At 39.1% G+C, this 13,346-nt stretch overlaps 1 protein-coding gene and 1 long non-coding RNA gene across 5 annotated transcripts in view; one reads left to right on the top strand and one right to left on the bottom strand.

Moving 5' to 3' along the window:
- The window catches only part of PCDH11X (protocadherin 11 X-linked), an 843,856-nt gene extending 842,671 nt beyond the window's left edge, over positions 1-1,185 (bottom strand). For all 4 annotated transcript variants that reach the window (XM_011530911.3, NM_032968.5, XM_011530910.1 and 1 more), the window contains exon 1: positions 876-1,185. The gene's annotated coding sequence lies outside the window, so the exon portion shown is untranslated. The remainder of the gene's footprint in view (positions 1-875) is intronic.
- Positions 1,314-8,126, top strand: LOC105373293 (uncharacterized). Its single transcript, XR_938465.4, has 2 exons — positions 1,314-3,978; positions 7,273-8,126. It is a non-coding gene; the product is annotated as an uncharacterized LOC105373293 (long non-coding RNA).
- The last annotated feature ends 5,220 nt before the right edge of the window (positions 8,127-13,346 follow it).

The raw sequence follows: 13,346 nt of genomic DNA, 5'->3' as shown, positions 1-13,346 counted from the left end.
GCGGTTTATTGATTTATTTATTTGGCTAAGGGATTACAAGTCATTTCTTTAGAGAAAGAGGAACCCTTTTATGTCTGGCAATACTCTTAGAAAAGTCATTTTTTTTAAATGAGAAAATGATGCCGTTTTTCGGCTAGATTATAAGTTGATTTTTAAAAAATAGGCAGTATTTCTCACACCTACCATCTCCACATCCAGCAGGTGCTGGCTGAGTACAGCCCCATAAAAATAGGGCGGGAAGGAAGGGCGGGGAGGCGAGCGCCAAGAGAAACAGCACCGGGAACCCTGTGCGCTCCTGGCTCTCCTGGCTCTCCTCTCTGCGCCAAGGGTCGTACCCTCAAGGGTTGGAGCCAGCCTGGCAGGGATCCAAACCCGAGCCCCCAGAGGAGCGCAGGGAGGCCAGGGGTAGTTTCTCAGCTAGAGGCATCGCCCCTCAGCTCCAATCTCTCAGCCGGGCGAGTCTGGGAGTCCGGGACGTGCTCTTTTGTCAACACCCGCCCCAATCTTAGAGTTTCCCTCAGCCTCGCTGAAGCTGGCTGTACCCATTAAAGGGAGAGACCTTTTTGCACAGCCAATGTCGGGGAAATTCATGCGCCGACACATTTCTGACAAAAGTGAGAGTTTTCCCAAAGTAACCAAGCGCAGCGGTGGTAGTGCAAAAAGATATTCTCCCTGCGCTCACCTCCGGGGTTTGCTCTTTCTCTTACCTCCCGGGAAGAGAAGGGGGAAGGGAGAATAGCAGAAGCGTCTTTAAAACCACCCCGTTGTCATAGTTCAGACCTCAGGGGCAGGCAGCGGGCAGTGTCCGCGCACTAAGTGTGGACCTCACGCCTCCCTGACAGCACCCTGTACAGGTACCCAGTCCGGTTACTTACCTAATAACGATGCCTTTAGAGTAGAATGAAGAGGTAAACGAAAGGGAGAAAAAAGGCTTCCGCCCGCTCCACGGAGACTGCGACTGCTGTAGCGGGCTCTACCGCCACAGCTCGCAGTCCGCAGAGCAGCCGGAGTCGCTGAGGTTGTTTCTGAGGCTATTCAGGCAGCCCGGGCTGCCTGTGCTGCCTGTGTCGCCGCTGGCACTGCCACTCTGCGCACTCTGTTTGGCTTGCCTTCCTCTTTGCCGCGCGGGCAGCTGAGTGCAGCTACTGCTCACGGCTCCTCCCGCCCCGACAGTTCGCCGACTGCAAGGAGCCAGTGCCGAGCCAGCCCTTTTGAATGGCGAGGGGGAGGGACTTAACCGAGGGGGAGAAAGGGGAAGGAAGGGGGGTGAACCAGGGGAAGGCGTGGGGAGAGAAGTGAACCAGTGTCCGGGCCGCCTGCTGGGAAGGGATGGCGCAGCACCAACTGCTGAGTACCCCCCTCTGGTCCCCACTCCCTGCACCTCACATCCCCCATCGATCCGGGGGCGGCCCCTCCCCGCTGACGGAGAACCAGCAAGAAGGGCGGGGGAGAGATGGAGGTAAGCTTAGGAAGTTACTGCTCGCCTCCTGGAGAAGGAGGCAGAAAGCGTGCTGGCAGCACTCTCGCGTGCGGGACCCGCTGCTGAAGAAAACGCGCCGCTTTCGGGCTGCTAGCTTTCCTGAGCAAAACCCTGGGCATACAATGTTCTCCTCGGTCCTCTGCTCACTCTTCTCTTAGGCTTCCCTTTAAGTTTCACCCATTCACATTTTCTCAGAGAAGTTTGATTTTTCTTGTGTGTTTTTCTTGTGATACCGCTGGCTGCCGACTCCAGCTAGAGAACAAGCATCCCACAGCACCATTTTCTCATACAAAGGATACTTAAGGCAGACTAGGGGTAGTAGGGGCAGAAGCCTGGCAAAGTCACAGTTGGAGCTGAGAGGCTGTCCGCATATATCATACTCAACTGTGAGCGGGGTCTGGTACTTCGATCGCCTTTCCAGATTAATCCTCTGACAGCAGCGAAGGGCTGTGTGTGTGTGTGTGTGTGTGTGTGTGTGTGTGTGTGTGTGAAGGAGGGAAGGAGAAGTTCTAGCGACCTAGCATTTGGCTACCCCAGACAGCAAGCAGGAGTGAGTCAGGTGGCATTGCTGCCAGAGACCAGGCAGCGTCGCGGGCATGGACGGCGCTTTTCCAAGGTAGGAAAGGGGGCAAGAGAGGGAGGAAACCAGCCCGGAGCCTCATGCCTGGTGCTTGCCAGCCAGCTCTGGCTGCCTGGTGGGCGACGGCTGGGTGGGCATCCGGGTGCCAGGTCCCCAAGGACCACTAAAGGTACCAGGAGGAATGTGGCTGGTTTATGCCTTCGAAGGGTCGTGGATATAAGGAAGTAGGGGCCAATTCCCCCGTTCCTGGCATGTGATTAAAAAACCAGTAGTAACAACATCAAAACCACCCCAGCTGGTCAACTCTTATTCTTGTTTCAAGGAACAACTCCTTAAATTTACCCAGACGCCAGAAAATTAACCAGGTGAATTTTCTAAATTCCTCTCTCCAGAAAGGTGTACGATTTTATGGGGAAAATCCACTTTCCGTGCTTATCCTGTAGAAAAACTTATCTTTCTGGTGCTGTGCAATTATTTGAAAGGAGGTGGCTCTTTTTCCTGAAATAAAAGGAGAAAAAGTAGAGAATGTTTCAGAGCACCAATAACACAGTATCCATTTTTTATTTTTTGTCTACTGAATGGAAGAGGAGATGACATCTGCATAGAGATAGAACATCAAGAAGGAAAAATTTTCAGAATTATAATAAGTTGCTTTTCTCTAATAGCTGCTTCAGGGAAAGTTTTTTAACTGAAAGGCAAATCCTTATGACTTGTTTCCCCAGTATATCCTTCTCCATCTTCTTAGCTGCCTCCTTTCCCATTCCTGATATTTTGAAGGTTAAAACCTTGGTTCAAATATTCCTCACGTCACTTTTTTGCATATTTTTATACCGAAAGCCATGCTACTAGGAGAAACATCAGCACCGCAGCTCAATGCAGGTCTGCATGAAAGAAAACAGAGAAATATTTACTTGCACAGGTGTGAGGAGACACTTCGCTATTACATTTTGCTCCTCCTGTAACCGTCCCTTCATTATTCACAGTATCCAGCACATGCATTGCACTCTTCTTGGGAGCTAGGAAATGTCTGAGAGGGGAAATCAGAAGCTGCTAAATGGTTACAGCTCTGACTCTTGGGGATTGCAATACTGGATGAGACTGTGTCATGGGAGATGGCAGGAACTCAATGCAAATAAAATCACTGATTGATCCAGGGACAGTGTGGCACAGGCATGCTATGGGAGTGCTTTCAAATACTAAGAATTATTCATAACATCCACATTAGATACCAATTAATTGATTTCTGAAGATTTCCATTTAATCCCTAGGCAGGAGAAGAGAACTATTTTGTCACCGTTTAAAGTATTTAAAGTTATCATGACAGACTTATGAGGTTAATATTATTATTCCATTTTGCAATTCCTGAAACTGAAATTCATAGAGGACAGGTGATTTGCACAAGACCATGACGCTAAAGAGTAACAGACTCTAGATTTCTATTCAGGGTATATAACTCATAAATTCAGCTACATGGTTACTTTATAGTTAATCTGAATTCTTCTATATATAATATGGAGCAGAGCATTTAGTTTTAGGTGTATAGTCCAATAGGAAATGATCTGAATAGATTAGAAACATTACTTACAGACCAAGGAGACTCTACTAGTTGAACTAAGCAATCCAGAAAATTACCTAAGAAATTGAGTCTGTTGAAAAGACTGACAGAAATCCACATCTGAAAATAATGAAAATTTTCCCCCATTTTCTTTTCTCCTGTGTTCTGTCTGATGGTGGCACCAATGAGCAACGGAATAACCAAAAGGCACCTGGCAAAAAGCTCTAGGCATTCTAACTCTAAAAGGACTGATGAAGACGCTTTTCTGACTACAGACAGAAGGACTCCCCGTTACTGAATGTTTTTAATGTACCATCTGCATTATATAAATTGTCCCATTAATCCTCCAAACCATTCTAAGAGGTAGGTATTATTAGCTTCATGTTTTCCTTAACAAATGAGAAAACAGAGACTCGGTAAAAATGCCCAAGGTATTATAGCTATAAAATACACAGGAAATTCCAACCCGTGTTACGTCCAGTCCATTGTGCTGCCCCTCAGCATACGGTCTTCAGATTGTGTAGTGACACATTTTCAGAATGTGCATTACATAAAAATTTTATGACTAACAAAAGTCCTCAAAAGCAAAAAGGACACTGTGGGAATCTGGTTTTTGGATGAGGTGTCAGGAAGGAACTGTGATATTTATTGCATTTTGTTTCTTCAGTGTTCCCATTAGGAACCTAGACCAGGGTTCTGCTATGATCATAAAAGGGAAATTATGGTAATATATACCCCATAAACATGGAAATATGCATATTCTCTGAGGGATAAACTATAAAGCCATTCTGATTATATAATGGATCAAAGAAGAGTTTTCAAAAACATCAGTGAGTAAGGATGTTTCTCAGGCCTGTAAGAATTGATTAAAACCAAGAAATAACATGCCCATCTAAAAAAGGATTGATCAGCCATAGAATCCTGGTGAAAGAAAACTGAGAGAGATGAGCATTGGCAACACCTATTCATGTACATTTTCATTTCTCTGACAAAATCACCCTTGACATGAGATTGATGAAGCCAATCAAATATTGTTATTTCAATTCACCTTGCATGAAACATCCCTTATCAAGCAATCTGTCATCTCATTGTGATCTGTCTTTCCTTATAGTCTCTGTTCAGAGAAGGAGTGTACAGGTCATGCAGATAGATGACAACAGAGTAATTTGTATTTATCATGTGACAGTTATTTTGCACTAAATTCCATTCTTTTTTTGTGTTTTACATCACAAATTGCACTATTCATTGCACAGACATGTTATAATCAATAGATCATCATTGCTATTGGGAAAGTAGATTGGTGTATGGGAATGAAACAGAAAGACTGGATAAAACACATTCTCCATGATATTTTTAATGTTTAATATTAAACCATCAGCAACAATTGCAATCAGTAGGAGGGAGTGATGCTCAGTAGTTAAGAAAAAACCTTTGATTTTTGACCAAATTTGGAGTCTTGGCTCTGCCATGTTCTAGCTGTCTGGCTGTGAAGAAATTAATCTCTAGACCTGTATTGTCCAATAAGATAACCACTATCCACATGTGGCTACTGAGCACATGAAATGTGGCTTGCCCTAGTTGACATATGCTTCGAGTGTAAAGTACACACCCAATTTTGAAGGTATATCACATAAACACACACACACACACACACACACACACACACACACGTATGTAAAATATATTGACCAGGTCCCATGGTTCAGGCCTGTAATCCCAACACTTTGGAGGACCAAGGCAGGAGGATTGCTTGAGCTCAGGAGTTCCAGACCAGCTTGGGCAACATAGTGAGACCTCATCTATACTAAAAATAAAAAATTCACCAGGTGTGGCAGCGCACACCTGTAGTCCCTGCTACTCGGGAGGCTGAGTTGGGAGCATTACTTAGGCCCAGGACTCGAAGGCTGCGGTGAGCTATGATTGTGGCATTTTTCTCTAGCCTAGGCAACAGAGCAAGACTCTGTTTCAATATATAATATAATATAATATAACATAATATACCATTATCATTGCATATCGGTTACATGATGAAATAATATATTGACTCATTGGTTCAACAAATATATTATTAAATTAACTTCAACTGTGTATTTTTAATATTTTTAGAAAATTTCAAATTACATGTGTGGCTTGCATTACGTAGCTTTTTGGACAGAGCTGTCCTAAAAAGCTACAGTTCCTTCATCTAAAATTAGGGATAATAACCTTATCCACCTCAAAATATTGTAGTGATATTTAAATAAGGTAATTCATCTAAAATGCTCAGCAGAATGTCTAAAATAAAGCTAAAAAGTTGTCACTCTCCAAGACATAAAAAAATAAAGATGTTAAGGAAAATTAAAAGATAACATAAACCTCAAAGGAATAGAGAATGCTTAAAGCAAAAGCCTTAGTTAAGAATTCATTTCTCTTTATCCCAAGTGAAATCATTCTGCTTCTCTCTTTAAAAGCAACAACAAACATTCATGTGCCGTCATAGGGGTAGGGGAACAATACTGTGACCTACAAATATTATAGTGCATATGAAAATGATATGAGAAGTTAAAAGTACTTTCTCAATTCCAAGCATTTTTACTATCATAATTTGTACAGGCAGTTTTACATTTAATTGGTAGATATTTCTAGTATTCAGGCATTCACGTCACAAATGATAATAAGGCTGAAACTGGTACAGATACACAAAAGACAAATGAATTTCTTCAGAAACTAAAGATTGAGAAATGGGAGTAGGTCTGCTAGTTACCAAGCTCTATGCTGTCGGTGGTTTAACTGCTTTACCTAGCAGCTCACCAAATGCATAGCTCAGCTGGAGACACTAGAGGGTACTATTACTGAAAACATAGATGAATGAAATCTTTCAACACACTTCCCCCTCTCCACCACTATAATGTATAAGAATATTTGAAAAGGGCGTATCTGTGAAATGAAAGTAACATTTCTCCATTCCCTCCTGTATATGACTTGCAAGGATTTTTTGGTTTTTGTTTTTTTGTTTTGTAGACCTGGGACTGGCCTTACAACACTACCAAAATAAAAAATATATATATCAGAAGTGTGCTATAATGTTTGGGCCAATAATTAGGAAAAGTTTGAACTCGTTCCCTGCTCTGAGAAATGCTTTACTGAAAGTCCAAGGAGGGGAGGAAAAGAAGGGCTTTCTATAGAGGAAAGATTTCGATAAGAATTCTTAACTACTTCAACGACCTCTGTAATTAATAGGGGTGTGACAACTGTTTGGTAGTCAGGTCATATAGAAGATGTTTTTTTTTCCAGTAGGCTTGAACAGCTCCACAATTGCAGTGGATAAAAGCTGTAGCTGAATTTCTTTCACAAGAACCTGACAATTACAGCCTTATGTTTATAGCTGAACTTTGTTGAAGCACTGAGCGCTGATTATAAATGATTATAAATTATAAATGATTGTAAATGTGGGGTTGTTCTCAAGGTTGCTCTTTTCCCCTGAAGAATTAATTTCTCCTACTGTATTCTTATTTTTCTGCAAATGAATAGCTGCAAACTGTACCAGATGAGGATTTTCATCTGTGTGCTACTGGCCTGTGTTGTGATGGCAGCACGTGAATGGGGAAAATTATTGTTTTTTAAAGAGTAGAATGATTAGAATGCTATTAACAGTCTCTATCTTTCTTGTTTCTTTAGGACAGGTTTTGCCTTAAGTTATCCAGATGTTGCATGGTGAGGTGAAGGACTCCAACAGTTTTATTCGTTGAGAAAAGCAGAATCCTTTTTTTTTTCATTAACAATGAGAATGAATTTTCCTATTCCATCAAGATTTCTATGTGGCCATCTCTTCAGGACATAGGTATCAGCTACTGTTTTAAATTTAGGAAATGCACACACATATGCAACCAACCACATAATGTTTCCAAAGCAATATATTGAGATTGATACAAATACACATTTTTCAAGAATCCTGGACTAATCCCACACTACTCTGAGCCTTCTTTACTTTTTAAGCCTCTTTATTTCTATTATATGACTGTGAACTAAGTAGATTTAACTTTTGTATGCTTTTAAAATCAGTTATATTTTCTGATATGTGATAACAAATATACTGTGTATTTCATTGAAACGTAGAGGAAAACTGCTCTTTTTTTCCTTTTAAAATCAGTGCCTATGGTATAGTCAACAAAGTATTTAATGAGTGGCTATTTTGAGCCATTTTTAATTGGCTGGACTACTGCAGACATACCATTTTAAATGATTACACATATGTCTAGAGAATCAGCATAGGATTTTTGTTTTTCCTTTGAGATTGAACAATTTTTATTTCATCATTACTAAAACTTAGCTGACAATTTTTATTTTTTCATTACTAAAACTTAGCTGGATGTCAGTTTCTGCCTTTAAATAAAATATCCAAATCCAGGATTATTCTCAATTGCAAAAATGCAGCTGGTCTCAACTATTCCTTTTATATTTTCTTTCACATAGGGTAGAAAATGGTGAATCATTGTACTTTCATATAATAAAAAGATGTCTTCAATTTTAAATGTAATTGTCCTTTCTTGAGTAACTTCTAAATGAAGTGAAACCACAAAGGCAGTTTGGCACACTATTGATTCTATCCTGGTTATCTTTTTTGTCAGGCTAGAATGTGAAGGGAAAGGGTTTGGAGCACAGAATGGTTTTCCTTTTAAAGAAAAAAAATTGAATGAAAAATTGGCAATGAAAATAAAATACTGGACCTAGATTCCCAACTCTGTGAATGTTGTTATTATTAGCCTCCACCTTCTCTAGCCCTGTTGCTGGAGCCAGACGCACTAGTCTCTCCTTCAGGCTGAACCTAATCCTGTCATAATAAAGAATCCTTCAGAAACCTTCACTTTGTCAACTGATGGATTTTTGAATTCGATATTTTTTCAGACCCACTGTTCAGTGTTCTTGTAGTGGATCGACCAGATCTGCGTTTTACTCCAAGTCCAAACCTAGTGTTCTAGTTCATACAATTAGTCGTCTAACTCAGTTATCTGGGGACACTGTAGTACCCGTTGCTATTACTAGTGCTCAGGCTCTGATAGTTGGAGCATTGGCACCCTGCTTGGTTTCCACCAGTCCCTTTCTGTGGTGCTCTCAGCTCAGTGTCAAGGAAATATTACCTGCTTCGCTGAGGGTCATGATCCCAAAAGGACAAACTGCTTAGCACTGTCCTACAAATAAGATTACTTATGACTCTAGCTTCTCATTTTATGTTTTATATCCTTGGATCATTTATTTTATGGAAGATGCTGAAGTGGGTAGGCTGTGTTGGTAAGACTTTTTCTGTTTATCAAAATAAGTAATGATGTCTTCCAATGACATTTGTTATTCTTGAATAGTGTGACTGAATTACTTAACACCCACACTTCCAAAACCAGATTTAGATCCAAAAACTAGATTTAGATAAATCATAGATAACTGGAAAATAGTCTGTTATCCCCAAGTGGATTAGGTCTCAGAGAAGAGGAGAAGGAGGAGGAGGGTGGGACATAAGGAATAGGCAAACTCAGGGTCCTGAGGAGGGGAGGCAGTAGAGATACTTTTTTCTTTTTAAATTATTTTTCTTTTATTTTTCCTTCAACTTCACTACTGTAACTTTTCAAATTTATACCATGCTACATCTCTTTCAACTTTTCTGCATGTACTCCAGCGGGGTAAAATGCTCATCTGGAGACTGATGTGGAAATGAAGATGATAGGGAAGAAAGGAATTGAAGTCACCTACTCCCTTCATAATGATTTCCTTTCTGAAAACTCTCCAAGGAAGAGAAGGGTGTTAGCAGTTAGCAAATGATGTAAAGACCACAAATTGGTGTTCAAACCCTGTTTACTTTGAGCTCCCTGTTTACTTTGAGACCCGAGTTTAGGCAGCGTAGTCTGCAATAGAAAGAGAAACTAGGAGAGAAGGCAGTGATGGCGTGTGCACTCTGGCCAAGGCCCTCTAGGGGGCAGCAAAGGAACAAATTGGAGTTGGGGGAGGTAGGCGTGGTGCAGGTTTATACGGAGGATTTCCTGTGTTTCTTTAATACGTAAATATGTGTTGTGACTCTCCAGCAGGGGGATATTAAAAGTTTATTCAACCAGGGAATCTTTTTGAGGTAGTATGAAAAATACTGCTTGGCAGTTGTAAAAGTGCTTGGCTCTTCAAACCTGTCAGCCTATCATGATGTTGATCACTCTGCATATAGCTATTTCCATCAACATTCATTTGATCCCTTGACGTGCTACTGCTCAAACCAGACCAGACCCAGTTTCAAAACTGAGACTACGAAGAGCAATTTATGGATATGAAAATGAAAGGAAATAAAAAGAATAAATCTGTACATTGTAACACAGACACAAGGACTTCCCATTGTAACTATTTTTGACATAATATATTACATTTTTTGCCTAGAACTTGTGATGCATGTAACACAATTTTAACTTAATAAGCTCCTTTTGTTTTGGCTATGTTTTTACGGCATGGCATGTAGGAAAAATAAATGGCTATGATGTATATTACCTAAGATTCTAGAAAGCCTCGATTCAACTTGTGATTCTTTGACATTCTAGCTGTAGAACATTGGATAAGTTACTCAAATTCTTTCAATTTCAATAACTATGTATTGAGAAATGAAATTACCTTGAGAATTGTTATTAGAAACATAAATGAGATAACATAAAAACTGCCATGAAGTACCCGATAAAAATATTTCAATGTAATTTAGCACTCAAAAAATTAGACTTCATTAGGCAGCGAAAGCAGTCATTGAGGTAAAATGAGGCAAAAGAAAAGGGAGGTGGATATAGCTGTATTATCCATTCACTCATTTGTTAGTTCATCTATTCATTCATAAACAAATACTTATTGAAGAACTCTACATCCCAGGCACTTTTTAGCCACATTAATTCGTTAAATAGACTTTCTACTTCATGTTTGGTTTTTAGTTCTAGGTAGTGAGTTATATAATGATAAGTACAACCCCAGCATTGTATAAGTCACTATCCCTTTCACTATTTAATTGAAGTAGGCAGGTAAAAGGGATTGGTAACCTCAATTTATTTGCATAAAATAAATATTACCTCTCACTCCCACCGCACAATTTGAATCTCTCTGAGGATATATCGCACCCTGAAATACAGTCCAAAATTTATAATTCACATAATCTTTTTTATACACATCTATGTTTATAGATATGGATACAGATATTGATATAGATATATAGTGATGAATATTTTGCAACAGGGTGTTGTTCTTATTTTATATCTTATGAACAGCCACACATTGATTGAATAACTGATACAAATAGAGGCAGATTTACCATGGAGCTAATGAAGTTTAAGATTGAGGGTCCTTCACTTACACTGGCCTCTTTTGAGGCCTGATATTACAAAATTATTTTCATATGAAGAGGCAATCCAATGATAGGCACCCAAAAATGTTGGGAAAAAGTATCACAGATATTTATGTATAGGAAAAAACATAATACATACAGGGTTTGGTAGTCTTTACACTTTCAGGCATCCACTGGTGTTCTTGAAATGGGAAAAGAAAAATATTACAGAGATGTGTCAAGCAGCTTATTATTAAAAGTATATAATTTTCTTGGATTCTATAATGTTTGTGATATTTGTCAGCTTCTATAAATTTGGCATTTGTTGTAACCTCTCTTTATAAATAAATATTCTGGTTATACAAAATTTTGTATGGTAATTTTGTATTCTTTTTTTTAAAGAGAGTTAACGTGTAAGTTTCAGATTCCAAAAACTAGGATTCATCCCTATTTATCCATATCAAAAGACCTGTCTTTTATTCTTCCAGAGGAAATACAAAATTTAAAAAACTGGAACTTAAGTTATAAGTTTGTACCTTTATGAGTAGATTAATTTGGACCTACAAAATAACTTCAGATTTTAATTCTGAAAAAAATTTAATAGTTTCCGTAGTTTTCTGTAGTATGATTCTTGGCTACATCAGTGACTAAAGGGAAAATAGAAACCTCCATACGCTTGTGGAAGAGATTATAGTTCTTTCATTTACAGAAAGCATGCAATAACCATATGTAGCTCTGTAAACTAGGACTGGCCTTTATCAACTTAGAGATTAGTGAATTTGTTCGAGTTTTGGACTTTTGGTCATAGACATTTTTATTCTCAGATAATCATCTGTCATATTTAAAGGATATATGGGATTCCTGATGAATCAAATAAAATGGAATTTTATATTGAACATAAAATAGAAAACTATCAAATCAATCATTCTTTTGAGTTCTATGATGACGATCCTCTCTTGGATTAGTTTTTTCCACTTTGAACTGCTAAGTATATTATATTTCACACAAAGGAACATTAGTCAAATTTAAAAACTTTTCTTCAGACAAGTTGTCATTTTTGTTATTTTTAAATGACAAGAGATAGGAAGAAATTGCAGTTTTCTCTATTCCAACTGATGTTCTATGCTGTTATTTACAATGTGCTCTGAAAAGAAAAGGACGTCATAATTTAGAAACAAAATTAAAGTGAATGGGATTCCTTTATGAAAATACAGTGTAATTAAACTTCAGCAAGTCTAGATTCACATCCCCTGAATCTCTTAATTGTTTTTATGTTTGCTACAATACTGCACATAGTATTTTTCAATTTAAAACATGTTCATAGTTGTATAAGAAAATAAGCAACTTGAAATTTATTAGTTAAAATGAAGCACTTGTTAATTAAAATGTCATCAAATCTTGAATTTTCTTCTTGGATCAGTTTCCTTAAGTAAAGCAGGTGTGTGTTTAGAGGTGTCAGAGGCATTTGAACCAGACCAAATCCATCTTGTATAGGGGCTGGGGAAAATAAGGCTGAAACCTACTGGGCTGAATTCTCAGGAGGTTAGGTATTCTTAGTCACAGGATGAGATAGGAGATCAGCACAAATTATGGGTCACAAAGACCCTGCAGATAAAACAGGATGCAGTAAAGAAGCCAGCCAGATTCCAACAAAACCAAGATGGCAATGAAAGTGATTTCTGGTCATCCTCACTGCTCATTATATGATAATTATCATGTGTTAGCATGCAAAAAGACACTCCCACCAGTGCCATGACTGTTTACAAATGCCATGGCAACATCCAGAAGCTACCCTATATAGTCTAAAAAGGGGAGAAGCCCTCAGTTCCGGGGAAATCCCCATCCATTGCCTGGAAAACTCATGAATAATCCACCCCGTGTTTAGCATATAATCAAGAAGTAACTATAAGTATACACAGTCCATGCCACTGCTCTGGCTCTGGAGTAGTGATTCTTACTTTCTTTACTTTCTTAATAGACTTGCTTTCACTTTATTCTATGGACTCACCCTGAATTCTTTCTTGTGTGAGGTCCAAGAACCCTATTTTGGGGCCTGGATCTGGACCCCTTTCTGGTAATAGAGGTATGGCCAAAGATCCATTAGTGAATAATGATGAATAAGTGCACTGCCTGCATATGTATATGATCCTGCCTGTTCCTTTTTATTTTATTTTTTAAGCAGTGGTGATGAGTTTCCTTTATGATCAAAACGTAGATATTCATTAGAGGCTTAGTTAATGGCAAAGGGCCTAGTATGGGGGGAGACAAAATATTTTTTCTGTACAAAATTAACTAGCCTATGTGACTCAAATTCATGTGCTTGGGCTCATTAGCACAATGCTCTAACTAATTAAACTAATGAATCTCAAAATAATGACAAATCCTAAGTTTGAAAGAATAAAGTTCTTTAACTCAGCTTGTT

This window comes from Homo sapiens, chromosome X, assembly GCF_000001405.40.
Source record: "Homo sapiens chromosome X, GRCh38.p14 Primary Assembly".
NCBI lineage: Eukaryota > Metazoa > Chordata > Mammalia > Primates > Hominidae > Homo > Homo sapiens.
This window is presented reverse-complemented; position numbering and strand designations above follow the sequence as displayed.